Source organism: Homo sapiens, chromosome 12 (assembly GCF_000001405.40).
Source record: "Homo sapiens chromosome 12, GRCh38.p14 Primary Assembly".
Taxonomy (NCBI): domain Eukaryota; kingdom Metazoa; phylum Chordata; class Mammalia; order Primates; family Hominidae; genus Homo; species Homo sapiens.
The window spans coordinates 57,409,871-57,428,650 of NC_000012.12; the positions used below are offsets into that span (position 1 = coordinate 57,409,871).

At 44.3% G+C, this 18,780-nt stretch overlaps 1 protein-coding gene and 1 pseudogene across 38 annotated transcripts in view, besides 1 other annotated feature; one reads left to right on the plus strand and one right to left on the minus strand.

The window, feature by feature from the left end:
• The window catches only part of R3HDM2 (R3H domain containing 2), a 177,378-nt gene that overhangs the window by 156,107 nt on the left and 2,491 nt on the right, over positions 1-18,780 (minus strand). Inside the window, exon 2 of one of the 38 annotated variants that reach the window (NM_001351207.2) lies at positions 12,989-13,089. The exons of the other annotated variants lie outside the window; for them this stretch is intronic. The gene's annotated coding sequence lies outside the window, so the exon portion shown is untranslated. The remainder of the gene's footprint in view (positions 1-12,988; positions 13,090-18,780) is intronic. 38 annotated transcript variants of the gene reach the window in all.
• On the plus strand, positions 5,426-5,533 carry RNU6-879P (RNA, U6 small nuclear 879, pseudogene; annotated as a pseudogene).
• Positions 10,462-10,662: a silencer, noted in NCBI's record as "peak1746 fragment used in MPRA reporter construct". NCBI's record gives its function as "represses an SCP1 promoter by STARR-seq MPRAs in K562 erythroleukemia cells {active_cell/tissue: K562}" and the evidence as "EXISTENCE:reporter gene assay evidence [ECO:0000049][PMID:32103011]".

Consider the following 18,780-nt stretch of genomic DNA (forward strand, 5'->3'; position numbering starts at 1 on the left):
CCTTCTAAAACTGATGTAGGAAGAGCCAGAAGGAAGGAAAGAAAAGAAAAAAAGCACATGGGCTTAAATCAATGAGAGAATATGTAGATTTGTTTTTCAATTTTCTTTTACATTTACCATCTGTATAAATCTAGGGTCAGAATAACCACACATTCCATTTTTATGAATTATTTTTGTTGGTTAATAAATGTTTAGCATTTTTTTCTACTGTCCCTAAAATTTCTTGCTATAGTAGCAACAAGATCCTACTTTTCCAAATACCAAATCAGGTGGTAAACATATCATATTCACTTTGTATGTGTAATCTTACTCTATTTTAACTTATTTTTCATTTAAATGAATTACTCAACATAACCATTCCTTTTATCTGCCATTTCTTGTGTTGAGGCTCTACCAACTATTAATACATCAATAGATCTTCACATTACCAGGGAGGTAGTATAACCTTAAAAAAAAAAAAAAAAAAAAAAAACTTCACATTTCATGAACAGCTAAACATACATGGAATTACTAAGGTTCTCCTCAAAGTATCCTACATAAACTCTAGTCTGAATTCAATACATGCAAAACAATTCCAGCATCATAAAATTCTCCCACAAGCACCCAAGTGTAAGGCTCACCTGATCTCAAGCTCAAATGTATTGCCTCATCCATCCAGGTGAAGTGTTAAGAAGTATATTTATTAAGAAGTATGTTTAGTGGCCAGGCACAATGGTTCACGCCTATAATTCCGACACTTTGAGAGGCTGAGGCAGGAAGATCGCCTGAGGCCAGGAGTTTGAGACCAGCCTGGGCTACATGGCAAGACCCTGTCTCTGCAGAAAAATTAAAAAATTAGCCAGTCATGGTGTGTGTGCCTGTAGTCTCAGCTATGTGGGAGGATGAGGCAGAAGGATCGCTTGAGCCACAGAGGTTGAAGCTATGGTGAGCCATGATGGCACCACTGTATTACAGCCTGAGTGACAGAGCAAGACTCTGTCTCTAAATAAATAAAAAGAAATTCTATTTATAAAGTATAATTTGGAGAGACAGTAGGGAAAAAATAGTGGATTTCAATTCTACAGGAGAGCTCTACATGGTTCTAATTTGGCCAAGTAACAGAAATAATGGGAAAGCATACAATTCATCTTAATATCTGCAATTTATGTTACCAGGCAGCTCATTTATTAAGTAATCTTAGAGCAGTCATCCACATAAAACAAAAGAATATATAAGGCACACAACTAATAAGTTAGTAAGTTAATTAAAATACCAGCTAAAATGTCTGAAAATGACCAACTTCCCCCATCAAAACAATATTTTATACTTCCTCAATAGCAATAATATGCAGGATTTTTGTTTGTTTTTTTGAGACAGCATCTCACTCTGTTGCCCAGGCTAGATGGAGTGCAGTGGTGTGATCTTGGCTGTCTGCAACCTCAGCCTCCTGAGTAGCTGGGATTACAAGTGTCCACCATCACACTCAGCTAATTTCTGTATTCTCAGTAGAGACCATGTTCACCAGGCTGGTCTCAAACTCCTGACCTCAAGTGATCCACCTGCCTCAGCCTCCTAAAGTGTTGGGATTACAGGCATGAGCCATGGCCTAATATGCAGAATTGTAACTATTTCAAAGGAACATGTTACTAACACATCATCACCTTCTGTGCAGCTTATTTATATGTTTCCACATCAAAGGAATATGCAGATACATTTAATGGGTTTCACCTTCAGTGCAAAATATTTTTGTGGACAAGACTGACATGTCTGGTTTCATGTAGAGTCCCAGAGCAGTACATTCTCAAGCTGTTGAATAAGAAGTGATTTTGATATACCAGATCCCAATTCCAAGACTAATACTATTTTGGACTTTCTAAAACATGAGACCTCATCAAGAACCATAAAACTATGCTCCAACAGAAACATTCAATACATTGAACACCCCGATATGGTTAGGCTTTGTATCCCCACCCAAATATCACCCTGAATTGTAATACCTGGGTGTTGACGGAGAGACCTGGTGGGAGGTGACTGGATCATAGGGGTGGTTTCCCCCATGCTGTTATTGTGATAGTCAGCGAGTTCTCACAAGAGCTGATGGTTTTGTAAGGGGCTCTTCCCCCTTTGCTTCCTTCACATGCTCTCTCACCTGCTGCCATGTAAGACATGCCTGCTTTTTCTTCCACCATAATTTTAAGTTTCCTGAGGCCTACCTGGCCATTCGAAACTGTGAGTCAATTAAACCTCTTTTCTTTATAAATTACCCAGTCTCCAGCATTTCTTTATAACAGTGTGAGAACAGACAAATACACATCCTAACTTCATATGAGTTCTAGATTGTATTCACAGATCAATATGTAAAATATATATGCAGATGAATGCAAGAAGCAGGTTCAAAACACAAAGTATTGGCCGGGCGCGGTGGCTCATGCCTGTAATCCCAGCACTTTGGGAGGCCAAGGGGGGCGAATCACTTGAGATCAGGAGTTCAAGACTAGCCTGACCAACATTGTGAAACCTTGTCCCTACTAAAAATACAAAAAAATTAGCCAAGCATGGTGGCACACGCCTGTAATCCCAGCTACTTGGGAGGCTGAGGTGGGAGAATCACTTGAACCTGAGGCGGAGGCTGCAACGAGCCAAGATCACACTACTGCACTCCAGCCTGGGCAACAGAGTGAGATTCTGTCTCAAAGAAAAAATTAAAACAAACAAACACACAAAACCCACAAAGTATTAAAGGTCTGGGTTGAGAAGATTCCCTACCTAAGAATATTTTAATTCAGAGAGCAGAAGATATAAAGAGGGAAACAACTCTTAAGTGACTACAGCCTGGATTACCTGAGCATAAGAGGGATATGAAAATGTATTTTTGGCCAGGCGCAGTGGCTCACATCTGTAATCCCAGCACTTTGGGAGGCCGAGGCGGGCAGATCACAAGGTCAGGAGTTCGAGACCAGCCTGGCCAACATGGTGAAACCCCTCTCTACTAAAAACACACAAAAAATTAGCCAGGCACGGGCCGGGTGCAGTGGCTCACGCCTGTAATCCCAGTACTTTGGGAGGCCGAGGTGGGCGGATCACGAGGTCAGGAGATCGAGACCATCCTGGCTAACACAGTGAAACCCCGCCTCTACTAAAAATACAAAAAAAAATTAGCCAGGCGTGGTGGCATGTGCCTGTAGTCCAGCTACTTAGGAGGCTGAGGCAGGAGAATTGCCTGAACCCAGAAGGCAGAGGTTGCAGTGAGCTAAGATCATGCCACTACACTCCAGCCTGGACAACAGAGTGAGACTCTGTCTCAAAAAAAAGAAGAAAAAGAAAAAGAAAACTTATGTCACCACCAAATTAGGTGAAAAAAAAGCAATACAATGCCAATCTTCTGTGCAATATCCCATCTCCCATGGCAAGTCACCATAACTACTCATAAATCACTTCATTATGTGAAATAATTCAGGTTAAGGCTAGGCATGGTAGCTCATGTCTGTACTCCCAACACTTTGGGATGCTGAGGTGGGAGAATCGCTTGAGCCCATGAGTTCAAGACCAGCCGGGCCAATATAGTGCAACCTTCTATTTAAAAAAAAAAAAAAAAAAAAAAGCAGGCTGGGCACAGTGGCTCATGCCTGTAATCCCAGCACTTTGGGAGGCGGAGGCGGGCAGATCGCTTGAAGTCAGGAGATCAAGACCAGCCTGACCAACATGGTGAAACCCCTTCTGTACTAAAAATACAAAAATTAGCCAGGCATGGTGGCGGGCACCTGTAATCCCAGCTACTCAGGAGGCTGAAGCAGGAGAATCACTTGAACTCAGGAGGTGGAGGCTGCAATGAGCCGAGATCGCACCACTGTACTCCAGCCTGGGTGACAGAGCAAGACTCCATTCTCAAGGAAAAAACAACAACAACAACAACAAAAAAAACAAACTCAGGTTAGACACTTTATTGCTCAAGCACATCTGGGAAGACACAGAGAGTCTTAGATCTGTAATCCCCCCCCTTTTTTTTTTTTTTTTTGAGATGGAGTCTCACGCTGTCACCTAGGCTGGAGTACGTGGCACGGTCTCAGCTCACTGCAACCTCCGCCTCCCAAGTTCAAGTGATTCTCCCGCCTCAGCCTCCTGAGTAGCTGAGATTACAGGCACACACCACCATACCCAGCTAAATTTTTTTGTATTTTTAGTAGAGAGCGGGTTTCATCATGTTGGTCAGGCTGGTCTTGAACTCCTGACCTCAAATGATCCACCCACCTCAGCCTCCCAGAGTGCTGGGATCACAGGCGTGAGCCACCTTGCCCAGCCCACTCTATCTTTTTTTTACTACAAATAACTAATCTCATAAAAATAACAAAGAATAGGCCAGACACAGGGGCTCATGCCTGTAATCCCAGCACTCTGGGAGGCTGAGGCGGGCTGATCACTTGAGGTCAGAACTTCGAGACCAGCCTGGCCAACATGGTGAAACCCCATCTCTACTAAAAATACAATAATTAGTCTAGCTGGGCATGGTGATGCGCACCTGTCATCCTAGCTACTGGGAAGGCTGAGGCATGAGAACTGCTTGAACCTGGGAGGCAAAGTTGCAGTAAGCTGAGATCACATCACTGCACTCCAGCCTGGGCAAAGAGAAAGACTCCATTAAAAAAAAAAAAAAAAAAAAAAAACGAAAAAACCAAAAACAGAGAATTAAGAATGAGAAGCAGGCCGGGTGCGGTGTCTCACGCCTATAATCCCAGCACTTTGGGAGGCCGAGGCAGAGAGATCAGCTCAGCTGAGGTCAGGAGTTCGAGACCAGCCTGGCCAACATGGCAAAACCCCATCTCTACTAAAAATACAAAAATTAGCTGGGCATGGCAAGTGCCTTGAATCCCAGCTACTCGGGAGTCTGAGGCAGGAGAATCACTTGTACCCAGTAGGAGGAGGTTGCAGTGAGCCAACATCACACCACTGCACTCCAGCCTGGGTGACAAGAGCAAAACTTTGTCAAAAAAAAAAAAATACAAAAGAAAAGAATGAGAAGCAATTTCTCTTTATAGGAACCATTCCCCATTCAAGGAATCAGGATTCCTTAAAGAAACAATTGATTCTAGGTCTGGGGCAAGTAAAATACAAAGTGAGCGCAGAACCCCTTGTTGTGCCAGAGTGTAAGGAAGTGCTCAAAACATGACAGGGATGTCAAAAGGACAAAGCAGCCAGCTTGAAGGAGCTCCCTCAAGCCCCTTCGAATCAAATTTAAGACAATTTTTATATTTCTAATAATGAATATTATTGGTACTTTTAATACTAACAGTAATGGATTGTAACTTGTTGAATTTTTTTGAACTATCAAATCTATAGTTATCCTCAAAAACATAAGGGAGGAGAAAAGCTCTTCTCTTTAGAACAATACCAGCCGTAAATGCAGAGGGAATGAGAGAATGTGAAAATCAACATATTCAAAGCACCAGTGGTGCTCGCTTCCACAGCACATATACTAAAATTGGACTGATACAGAGAAGATTTAGCATGGCCCCTGACCAAGGATAACATGCAAATTAATGAAGCATTCTATTAAAAAAGGAAAAAAGAAACCACTAGTACAACAGCTTCAGACAAGGATCATCAATGGATGCTAATGTCACTGGGTAAAAGGTTGTGGAGGAAAAGAGACCCAAAATCTTAAAAGTATCATCCCACAGCTGTTTCTTAATTTTTACCAAAGGAAAAGGATCCAACATCACAAGGCCAGGGGTGGAAAAAAAAAAAAAAAGCAGAAAGATTCCTTTACAATGAAGAAATCTAGCAGATATCAATTTAACCAAGCAGACTTCAATTTAACCAAGCAGACATCAATTTAACCAAGTGATCAAAGTTAACATTATCAATAATGAGATAAAGTCACATTATGTGCACACAACATCACCTGGGTAGTATTCTTGCCAAGTATATTTGACTTGAATCTAATCATGACAAATTCAAATTGTACAACATTCTTCAAAACAATCGGCCTGGACACTTCAAAAATATTAATGACATGAAAAACAAAAAAAACAGAAGAGAACTGCTCTAGGTTAAAAGAGACTACAAACATACAACAATTAAATGCAACACATGTTCCTTGAAGGAATCCAGGATTGTGGGGGTAAGTTGTAAAGCATGTTGAGATAACTGAAGAAATTTAAATATGGACTGTTTATAATATTATTATATCACTGTAAAATATTTTGAATGTGATAGTGAACTTAATAATGGTATTGTGGAAAACACCACTGTTCTCAGGTGATACATGCTTAAGAAATTATGGAGTGAGGTATCCTGATGTCTGTAATTTATTTCCTAATACGTGAATAAAAATTCCTAATATACAGTAACACAAAAAACTGTGTGTGTACTATGTATGTAGGGAGGGAGCAAAGAGAGGAGAGGGAAAAAGTGAGAGGGAGAGAGGAAGAGAAAAAGAGGAAGGGAGAGAACAAACATACAAATGTGGCAAAATATTATCAATTGGTAAATACAGGTAAATGTCATACCAGTGTCCACTGTATCATTCCTCTACCTTTCCTATAGGTTTGAAATTCTTCTAAATAAAATGTTGGAGCCAAAAAGAACAAGAAGCAACATTAACCAAAATACTTGGCTGCCCAATAGAAACTTGCCCTGTCCTAAAAGGCAATTTGAGATGAGGGTTAAAAGCACAGACTTCAGGCCAGGCACAATGACTCACACCTGCAATCCTAACACTGGGAGGATGAGAAGGGCTGATTCAGCCCCAGGAGTTCAAGACCAGCCTGGGCAACAAGGTGAAACCCTGTCTCTACTAAAAATACAAAAAATTAGCCGGCAGTGGTGGCACATGCCTGTAGTCCCAGCTACTCGAGAGGATGAGGCAGGAAAATCACTTGAATCTGAGAGGCGGAGGTTGCAGTGAGCTGAGACTGCGCCACTGCACTCCAGCCTGGGCAACAGAGTGAGACTCTGTCCCCCCCGCCCCACAAAAAAAAGCCAGCTGGGCATGGTGACTCACACTTGTAATCCCAGCACTTTGGGAGGCCAAGGAGGGCAGGTCATGAGGTCAGGAGATCAAGACCAGCCTGGCCAACATGGTGAAACCCCATCTCTACTAAAAATACAAATTAGCCAGGCGTGGTGGCGGGCACCTGTAGTCCCAGCTACTCAGGAAGCTGAGGCAGGCTGAGACAAGAGAATTGCTTGAACCCAGGAGGCGGAGGTTGCAGTGAGCCGAGATCCCACCACTGCACTCCAGCCTGGGCGACAGAATGAGACTCTGTCTCAACAACAACAAAAACAAAAAAAGCCTAGGTAATCCCAGCACTTTGGGAGGCCAAGGTGGGTGGATCACCTTAGGTCAAGAGTTTGAGACCAGCCTGACCAACATGGTAAATCCCCATCTCTACTAAAAATACAAAATTAGGCCTGTAATCCCAGCTACTTGGGAGGCTGAGGCAGGAGAATCGATTGAGCCCAGGAACCGGATGTTGCAGTGAGTAGAAATCCCGCCACTGCACTCCAGCCTGGGCTACGGGGCAAAATTCCATTTCAAAAAAAAAAAAAAAAGAGAGAGACTTCCACATGAAACTGGGTTTATATCCTGGCCACATGATGATGGTCATATAATCTAACCTAACTTCCCTAAGCCTCACTGTGAAATGGGAATAATACAATACTATTCCATGAGGATTATTATTCTGAGGATTAAATGATCTAATATGTATAATTTGTTACTATACTCCCATGACATTATCACATTATTTGTTCTTTTTTTGTATGTCTTGGCAACTTACAGGTCACTGTCAAAATTTTTGCCAAATATATCCAAAATCAAAGAATTATAATGCATTCCATCCAAGGACCAATAACAGTCCTCCACTGGCACAAGTAAGTGAGAACTAACATTCTCTAAAGAATATAGCACGTGATGGGAAATGTAGCTTACCAGCTTATGTTTGCTCCTTCCTCAAAATATTACTGGGTTATCTGTCAGGAATGGGCATAGGCTACCTTGGTCCCAAAAATGTCAATCTTAACATTAAAATCCAATGCTATCAGGCCAGGAGTGTTCCTAAAATTCTGGTATTTCCTGGGGCTCGATGTCAACTCTCCTATCACTTTCTTAAGTTTGCCCTGAGTAACCCTGTTCCCTATCACAGATTAAACCTTCTTGTGGAGACTACTTCCAAATCTAAATACCCCTGCCTCTCTCTAGCACTCCAGATCCATTTAGACAACTAGCTGCTAGACATTTCCAAAAGTGAACTCTCTACCAACATTTCCTCTAATCCCAAACCTACCCTTTTCTTATCTCAGTAAGCAACACCACCCAGTTTGCCCAAGACACAAACCTGAGCGTCATCCATCCACAATTCCTCCCCTCTTCCCACATTTAAACAATCTCCAAATTCTGGAACCATCTCACATTCATCTGCTCTTTTCAGCTCTGATTCCTCTCCTCTATTCTCATTACTTCTGCGCAGAACATTTAGTTAACGGGGCAAGGCCTCCAGAGCTTTCTTTTGCCTTCAGCAGAGCAACTGGCAATATTCCCAACGGTGGTTGCGCAGGCTGCCGTTGGTCTTTGTCCTTGTACAACTAAAAGTCTTTAGCCTATCTTTGATGGACATGTAGTGACAGTGGAAAGGAAACTAATTGTTTCAAGCTACTGAGATATGGAGACTGTTTTTTACCCAGCATACTCTAGGCTACCCTGACTTTGATATCTTCTTTTTTTTTTTTTTTGTAAATGGAGTCTCTGTCGTCCAGGCTGGAGTACAGTGGTGCGATCTCAGCTCACCGCAACCTCTGTCTCCCCGGTTCAAGTGATTCTCCTGCCTCAGCCTCCCCAGTAGCTGGGATTACAGGCACCCACCACCACGCCCAGCTAATTTTTTGTGTGTATTTTTGGTAGAGATGGGGTTTCACCATATTGGCCATAGTGATCTCAAACTCTGACTTCAGGTGATCTGCCCGCCTTAACCTCCCAAAGTCCTGGGATAACAGGCATGAGTCACTGCACTCGGCCTCAGTATCTCTTATATAGACTACAATAGCCTCCTAACCAGTGTCACTCCCTCTACTCTAAATCCAGTATAAGTATTTCTTCAAATTGCTGCCAGTTTCCTTTGTAAAATACAAAATAATCATTTCATTTCTCTGATTAAAAATCTTCAGTTCACCTTTGTCTCATATGCCAAATTTCTTAATATAGCTTGTAAAGCCCACCATAAAATCAGGCCCTAAATATATCTTTCTCTTCAGTCATTCAAAATACTGCCCCATATATACCATCCATATTCTCCTTTCCTTTTTTTTTTTTTTTTTGATACGGATTCTTGCTCTGTCACCCAAGCTGGAGTACAGTGGAGTGATCTCGGCTCACTGCAACCTCCGCCTCCAGGGTTCAAGAGATTCTTGTGCCTCAGCCTCCCCAGCACCTACGATTACAGGCAAGTGCCACCATGCCTGGCTAATTTTTTGTATTTTTAGTTGAGACAGGGTTTTATCAGGTTGGCCAGGCTGGTCTTGAACTCCTGATCTCATGATCTGCCCGCCTCAGCCTCCCAAAGTGCTGAGATTACAGGCATGAGCCACTGTATCTGGCCATCTTTTTTTTTTTTTAGAGACAGGGTCTCACTCTGTTGACCAGCCTGGGGTACAGTGGTGCAATCATAGCTCACTGCAACCTCAAACTCCTGGGCTCAAGTGATCCTCCCACCTATCTCTCAAGTAGCTGGGATAAAAGGTGCATGCCACCACATCCAGCTAATTGCTTTAACTTCTGGTAGAGGTGGGTGTCTCACAATGTTGCCCAGATTGCTTTCAAACTCCTGACATGATGTAATTCTCCCGCCTTGACCTCCCAAGGCACTAGGATTACAGGTGTAAGCCACCGTGCCCAGCCTCATACCATATTCTTTAATACCTCTAGGTCTTTGCCCAGGCTATTGTATCTGCTTGAAATGCTCCCCCACCTTTACACTACCCCATGATATCTTTGCCTGCCTAGCCATACAAGTACCCTCAGCAGCTATCTCTCCCACTCTCTCAACAGCTATTCGAACTTGCCTCTCTTCTCAAGGCCCCTATTCAACCAACCTGCCTTACGCTAAGACATCAGCTCCCTGACCCAAAAAAATAAGTCTCCTACATCACAAGTAATATAAAGGTCATAAGGCAGAAACTCTCTCAAATTCCTTTGTTTAGATACCAAACATTTCTCCCCACCCCTTTCCTGACCTTTTCCTTCTCTTAATGAAGGGGATAATAATTCTACCCCTACTTTAGATTGCATCTTCTCTGCAGGCTCAAGAACTTCATTCTGTTATCATGGCTCTGTATTGTCTTGTTCATTCTCCTGTATATATAAATATGCTCGAGTTTGTCATCTTAAAAAACTCTTCCTTGCACATTCCCTCTAATTACTGTCCTCTCTCTCCATCTCTTTGCAGTCATCTTGAAAGACAAAGTTTGTTTTTTCTCTCCTCCCATTTATTCCTCAAAATGTTATCATCATTCTAATGACCCTGCTCTCACTGAAGACACCAATGACCTGACTGTCAAATCCAGTGAGTTATTTTCTGTCCTTATCCTACTTGGTCTTTCTACCACCTGTGATACTACTGCCTTCCTCCTCCTTGAAACTCCTCCTACTTCTCATTACACACACTTTACTGGTTTTCTTTTTTTTTTTTTTTTTTAATAGAGATGAGGTCTCATTATATTGCCCAGGCTGGTCTCAAATTCCTGGCCTCAAGTAATCCTCTCGCCTAGGCCCATAGTATTGGGATTACGGGCGTGAGCCACTGCGCCCAGGCTTTACTAGTTTTCCATCTATCTTTAGGCCTCCTCAGATTTCTTCTGGGGCTCCACTTCCACCAGTCACACCTTTAACTACCAGTGTTCTCTAAGTCCTCTCCTCAGCCTGCAGCTCTTCAGTCTCAACATGCCTCTTAGCTGACCCAAACCATCACTTCAACTACAACGTATATACTACTATACTGCTGACTCCCAAATCTCTCTCCAGTCCCAACTTCTCTGACTCTGGACTGGTATATCCAACTACCTAGCAGGCATTTCCATATGGTTCCACAGGTACCTCAAATTCAACCATTCAAAAACCAAACATCTCATCTTTTGTTCCCAAACGTGCATCTTCCTATATTCCCTAATTTATAAATGGAAGTCACTATCCACCTTAGCATGGAACCCAGAAAACTAGAAGTCATCCAAGAGCTCATCCTTCTCATTACCACTATTATCCTCTCTCTTGCTCTGTAGCTTTGTCAATCACGCATGTACACATCTCCATGTCTAACAGATTCTTTTTTTTTTTTTTTTTTCTGAGACAGAGTTTTGCTCTTGTTGCCCAGGCTGGTGTCTCGGCTCACAGCAACCTCCGCCTACTAGATTCAAGCAATTCTCCTGCCTCAGCCTCCCGAGTAGCTGGGATTACAGGCATGCACAACCACTCCCGGCTAATTTTGTATTTTTAGTAGAGATGGGTTTCTCCATGTTGGTCAAGCTGGTCTCCAACTCCCGACCTCAGGTGATCCGCCCACCTCAGCCTCCCAAAGTGCTGGGATTACAGGCGTAAGCGACCACACCCAGCTCTTTTTTTTTTTTTTTTTTTTTTAAAGACAGGGTCATCACTTCTCTGCCTTTTGGCTAAGATCAAGGGTAGTAAAAGACAGGGTCTCACTCTATTGCTCAGGCTGGAGTGCAATGTGGTGGGATTGTGGCTTACTGCAGCCTTGATTCCCAGGTTTAGGTAATCCTCCCACCTCAGCCTCCCAAATAGCTGGGACTATAGGTGTGTGCCACCAGGCCCAGCTAATTTTTCTTATATTTCTTTAGAGGCAGGTTCTCACTAAGTTGCCCCAGGCTAGTCTCGAACTGGGCTCAAGAGATCCTCCCACCTCAGCCTCCCAAAGTGCTGGATTATAGGTGTGAGACACTACACCCAGCCTATCTATTAAATATCTCATGGTGGCTCATGCCTGTAATCCCAGCACTCTGGGAGGCCAAGGGGGGCGGATCACCTAAGATCAGGAGTTCACGACCAACCTGACCAACATGGTGAAACCCATCTCTACTAAAAATACAAAAATTAGCCGGGTGTGGTGGCGTGCACCTGTAATCCCAGCTACTCAGGATGAGGCAGGAGAATCGCTTGAACCCGGGAGGCAGAGGTTGCAGTGAGCCGAAATGTGCCACTGCACTCCAGCCTGGGAGACAGAGGGAGACTCCGCCTAGCAAAAAAAAAAAAAAAAAAAAAAAAATTTTGAGTCCATCTATCCCTCTGCACTTGCATGACTACTTTAGACCCTATTTCTTATCTAGATTATTGTGATCCTCCCTAAACTGGACTCCCTAATTCCAGTCTATTTTCCAATCCAGTCTCCAAATTGCTATAAGAGATATTTTTAAAAAGTAAATCCTTCAGTAGCTTTCATAGTTTAAGACAAAACTCGAACTTTTTAGCCTATCAAATAAGGACTTCAATATCAGGCACCTAGGTACCTCTCTAGTCTTTTCTGTAATTCCCACAAGAATCCCATATGTAGCCTCATCCCATTCCGTGCAGTTTGGCAAAGACTCTGTTACCTTGCTCTATACCTCCATGATTTACGTAGGCAGTGCCTCCCCAGAACTTTCTTCCCCATACTTCACCTAGCTAACTCCCAGGTAGTTAAGGAAAAGCCAGAAAGGCTGACAGGGGCCAGATCATAAAGAGTTTTTGTAGGCCATAATCTTAATAAGTCCTTCAAGAGATACATATGCCACTAGGTTTAAGAACGAGAGATAGGGAGAATACAACAGAAACTTTCAGGAAAATGAACATTTAAAGGACAGGGGCCAGGTGCAGTAATTCACATCTACAATCCCAGCACTTTGGGAGGCCAAGGCAGGACAGGACGACTGCTTGAGCCCAAGCGTTCAAGACCAGCCTGGGCAACACAGGAAGAACTCATCTCTACAAAATTAAAAAATAAAATTAGCTGGATGTGATGGTGTGTACCTGTAGTCCCAGCTACTTGGGAGCCTTGAGCCCAGGAGGTGGAGACAGCAGTGAGTCATGATCATGCCAGTTTACTCCAGCCTGGACAACAGAGCAAGACCCTGTGTCAAAATAAAAAATAAAAATAAAAAAATATATAAATGAAGAATGGGCAGGAGAAAAAGAGCCAGGAAAGCAAGTAAAAAAGTATAGCGTCACCAAATATTTGAAGAAGGAGAGGGGTCAACAGTAATGAATGCTGCAAAAACAACAGAGTAAGAAAAGGATGAAAAGAGATCTGTGGCCGGGCGCGGTGGCTCATGCCTGTAATCCCAGCACTTTGGGAGGCCAAGGCAGGTGGATCACCTAAGGTCAGGAGTTCAAGACCAGGCTGGCAAACATGGTGAAACCCCCCATCTCTACTAAAAATGCAAAAATTAGCCAGGCACGGTGGCGCACCCCTGTAATCCCAGCTACTTGTAAGACTAAAGTGGGAGACTTGCTTGAACCCAGGAGGCGGAGGGTGCAGTGAGTCGACATCATGCCACTGCACTCCAGCCTGGGCAACAGAGCAAGACCCTGTCTCAAAAAAAGAAAGAAAAGAGATCTGTTAAATTTTACAAGGTCTCCCATATTCTTCCCATTGATTTTGATGGTTGCTGGGAGCTGTCTCTACCAACAGCATTAGAAACTTTAAGTGGGCCAGGCGTGGTGCCTCATGCCCAGCACTTTGGGAGGCCGAGGCGGGTGGACTGTCTGAGCCCGGGAGTTTGAGACCACCCTGGCCAACATGGTGAAACCCCATCTCTACTAAAAATACAAAAATTAGCCAGACGTGGTGGCGGGCACCTGTAATCCCAGCTACTCGGGAGGCTGAGGCGATTGCTTGAACCCAGGAGACGGAGGTTGCAGTAAGCCGATATCATACCACTGCACTCCAGCCTGGGCAACAGAGCAAGACTGTCTCAATTAAAAAAAAAAAAAAAAAAAAAAAAGGCCAGGTGCAGTGGCTTACACCTGTAATCCCAGCCCTTTGGGAGGCTGAGGCGGGAAGATCACCTGAGGTCAGGAGTTCGAGGCCAGCCTGACCAACATGGAGAAAACCCATCTCTACTAAAAATACAAAATTAGCCAGGTGTGGTGGCACATGCCTGTAATCCCAGCTACTTGGGAGGCTGAGGCAGGAGAATCGCTTGGACCCAGGAGTCGGAGGTTGCGGTGAGCCAAGATCGCGCCATTGCACTCCAGCCTGGGCAACAAGAGCAAAACTCTGTCTCAAAAAAAAAAAAAAAAAAAAAAAAAGGAACAAAGAAACTGTAAGTGAACACTTCTCATGGGTATACATTCACCTGCTACAGTGCTACAGGCTGGAGTACAGTGGCGTGATCTCAATCACTGCAACTTCCGCCTTCCAGGTTCAAGCAATTCTCGTGCCTCAGCCTCCCGAGTAGCTGGGATTACAGGCATGTGATACCATAACACCCAGCTAAGGTCTTGTATTTTTAGCAGAGATGGGGTTTCATTATGTTAGCCAGGCTGGTCTTGAACTCCTGACCTCAAGTGACCCACCCGCCTCAGCCTCCCAAAGTGCTGGAATTACAGGCGTGAGCCACCACACCTGACCATATATTTCAAATGTACCTACCATTAAATTTGGATTGTCACTGCCTTAATTACTTTCCTCCTAGTCTTCTGTTATTAATCCTGTAAGCTTTCACAAGTCTGACCCACCCTTTTCCAAGACACCAAGGATTTCTTGATGCCCATACTGTTCCTCATAAACAAAAACCATAAATTCTTACAATTGTCATACGCAACAAAGACACAGGCCCAACAAAAATATGAACTGTATTTTTTGAAAACCTAGCCTTTTTGGGGTTTTTAAGAGACAGGCTCTCATTCTGTCACCCAGGCCAGAGTATGGTGGCACAATCATAGCTCACTGCAGCTGCAAACTTCTGGGCTCAAGCAATCCTCCCGCCTCAGATTCCCAAAGTGCTGCACTACAGGTATGAACCACCAAGCCAAGCCTATACAATATTTTTAATAACGGTGCACGTAAAACAAAGTTTTGACTGTAATTTGTCACATGAGCCTGGGCAACAAAGTGAGACTCCGTCTCAAAAAAATAAATAAATAAAAAGAAATTATTCAGTCAGGTGCGGTGGCTCACGCCTATAATCCCAGCACTTCAGGAGGCTGAGGTGGGTGGATCACCTGAGCTCGGGAGTTCGAGACCAGCCTGACCAACATGGAGAAACCCTGCCTCTACTAAAAATACAAAATTAGCCAGGTGTGGTGGCGCATGCCTGTAATCCCAGCTACTGGGGAGGCTGAGGCAGGAGAATCACTTGAACCCAGGAGGTGGAAGTTGCGGTGAGCCGAGATCGTGCCATTGCACTCCAACCTGGGCAACAAGAGCGAAACTCCGTCTCAAAAAAAAAAAAAAATTATTCACAAAATGAGAACTACTAATATAATTCTAGAAGATGCAGTTATTTCTTTATACTAATAATATCAGAACTATGTCCAGACAAATGCATAGCAGATCCCCAATTCTTGCACCTCCCATTAACTGTTCTCTCCTAGGCCTGGCAGCTTTCAATGTCCTCGCAAAGGTTTAAGCAAAAGCCTTAGCTTTGCCACTAGCATTCCTACAAAGTGTTAAAAGCACACTTCAGGCCGGGCGTAGCAGCTCACAACTGTAATCCCAGCACTTTGGGAGGCCGAGGCAGGCGAATCACCTGAGGTCAGGAGTCCAAGACCAGCCTGGCCAACATGGTGAAACCCTGTCTCTACAAAAAAACAAAAATTAGCCGGGCATGATGGCGGGTGGCTATAATCCAGCTAGTTGGGAGGTTGAGGCAGAAGAATCGCTTGAACCTGGGAGGCGGAGGTGGTAGTGAGCTGAAATCAGGACACTGCACTCCAGCCTGGGAGACACAGCAAGACTCTCTCAAAACGAAAAACGCACACTTCACTCCCTTTGCCTTCCTGAGCTAAAGAAGAGTAGCCAAACCGCCCCAAAGAGAAATCTCATCCAGGTTACTCTAGCCGGAAGATCAATGGAGGTAACTAATGTACCAACCAAGAAACTAAGGAAAGATAGGTCAGGCGCGGTGGCTCATGCCTGTAATCCCAGCACTTCGGGAGGCCGAGGCGGGCAGATCACCTGAGGTTAGGAGTTCGAGAGTGGCCTGGCCAACATGACAGAACCCTGTATCTACTAAAAATACAAAAATTATCCAGGCGTGGTAGCCGATGCCTGTAATCCCAGCTACTTGGGAGGCTGAGGTAGGAGAATCCCTTGAATCCAGGAGGCAGAGGTTGCAGTGAGCCAAGATCACACCATTGCACTCCAGCTTGGGCGACAGAGCGAGACTCCATCTCAAAAAAATAAATTAATTAATTAATTAAGGAAAGATAAAATGAGGGATAACCCACAGAATTTAGGGTGCCTGCTCCTTTTTATCCTCAAACTTAGCATAGATTTAGTTGCTAAAAATGCCCCCCAAAATCAATCTGTGAAAAAAGGATCAAGTGTTCTCTAGAACTGAACATTCTACCATTGTTAGAGAAACCTATTCTTAAAGTTTTTAAGCTCAACTGTCTCTACATGAATTGGTGGGGTTGAGGGTAGGAACTAGCCCATAAAGACAGAACTATAAATATTAACATCTTCAGGCTACTGAAAACTCAAAGTGGAACCAGCCTGCTCAGCTAGGTAGGGTCAGAGAAGTAACGAGTGATATTTGTCTTGGAAGGGACATGAACAAACCTCAAGGGAAGAGCATGAAGTAGGTAAAAATTCTAGCCACAATAAATCTGAGATAAGACTACCAATACCAAAGACTTCCACACTCCATCCTCTTCTCTGCCCTCAGAGTATTTTCATTCAATGGCCCCAAAGCACGAGATGTTTGTCCAAAGAGAAACATCCCCAGAAAAAACATCTCAACATCTCTCAATGAGTACCTTAGAAAACCAGGTTTTCCTAGTGAAAACCCATCCCACCCTTCCAAGGACAACTAATCACGATGAAAAATTCATGGAAAGAGTTCAAGGAAAAAACTCCTCCTTACCTACTCAGTCAATAAATCTGTTGTGCACTTTACTGAACATCAAGTGCTGTGCTAAGTGCTGAGGATACGGAAATTAATAAAACAAAAATGTGGCTGGGCACAGAGGCTCACGCCTACAATCCCAGCACTTTGGGAGGCCGAGGCAGGAGGATCACCAGGTCAGGAGTTCAAGACCAGCCTGACCAACACGGTGAAACACCATCTCTACTAAAAATACAAAAATTAGTTGGACGTGGTGGCGCGTGCCTGTAATCCTAGCTACTCAGGAGGCTGAGGCAGGACAATCACTTGAACCCGGGAGGTGGAGGTTGCAGTGAGCTGACATCGTGCCACTGCACTCCAGCCTGGGCGACAGACAGAGGTTCTGTCTCAAAAAAAATAAATAAATAATAATAAAATAAAATAAATAAAACAAAAATGCCTGCTCTCCTGAAGCTTTTTTTTTTTTGAGACAAAGTCTCAGTCTGTTGCCCAGGCTGGAGTGCAGTGGCACGATCTCAGCTCACTGCAACCTCAGCCTCCCAGGTTCAAGCCACTCTCCTGCCTCAGCCTCCCAAGTAGCTGGGACTACAGGCGTGTACCACCACACCCAGCTAATTTTTGTATTTTTAGTAGAGATGGGGTTTCACCATGTTGGCCAGGCTGGTCTCGAACTTCTAACCTCTGGTGATGCCCCGTCCTTGGCCTCCCAAAGTGCTGGGACTATAGGTGTGAGCCACTGCGCCTGGCCCTGAAGCTTTCTACTAGGGGAGATTAAAATATATAATACGTTATAGGTTGATAAGGGTTAAGGCAGAAAATAAAGCAGAAAAGGGGGATAGAGAGTTATGTAAATGTGTATGCAGGAGGGGCTTTGCCATCCAGATAGCCAAGGGAATATCAGTGTTAAGAGTGACATTTGGGCCAGGCGCAGTGGCTCACACCTGTAATCCCTACACTTTGGGATTACACTTTGGGAGGTGGAGGTGGGTGGATCACTTAGGGTCAGGAGTTGAAGACCAGCCTGGCCAACATATAGTGAAACCCTGTGTGTACTAAAAATACAAAAAAATTAGCCAGGCATGGTGGCAGGCACCTGTAATCCCAGCTACTCAGGGGGCTGAGGCAGGAGAATCGCTTGAACCCAGGAGGTAGAGGTTGCAGTGAGCCGAGATCATGCCACTGCACTCCAGCCTGGGTGACAGAGCGAGACTCCATCTCAAAAAAAAAAAAGAGTGAAATTTGAGTAAAGACCTGAAGGAGATGAGGGGACAGACAGGCTATGCTCTTACACAGCTTTGTAAGAGAAAAGTAACTCAGGAAGAGGAAACAAGAGCATAGACCCTGAGGCAGAAGTGTGCCTAGTGTGCTCAAGGAACAGCCAGAGGCCAGTGTGCATGTTAGGGGAAAAGGGTGCCACAGATCTAGAGCTTTAAAGCTAAGATTGGTTTGGCTGGGCGCGGTGGCTCATGCCTGTAATCCCAGCACTTTGGGAGGCCGAGGTGGGCAGATCACGAGGTCAGGAGATCGAGACCATCCTGGCTAACACAGTGAAACCCGTCTCTACTAAAAATACAAAACATTAGCCGGGTATGGTGGGGGGTGTGGTGGGGGGCGTGGTGGGGGGGCACCTGTAGTCCCAGCTACCCAGGAGGCTGAGGCAGGAGAATGGCATTTACCCAGGAGACAGAGCTTGCAGTGAGCCGAGATTGCACCACTGCGCTCCACCCTGGGTGACATAGCGAGAAAGAA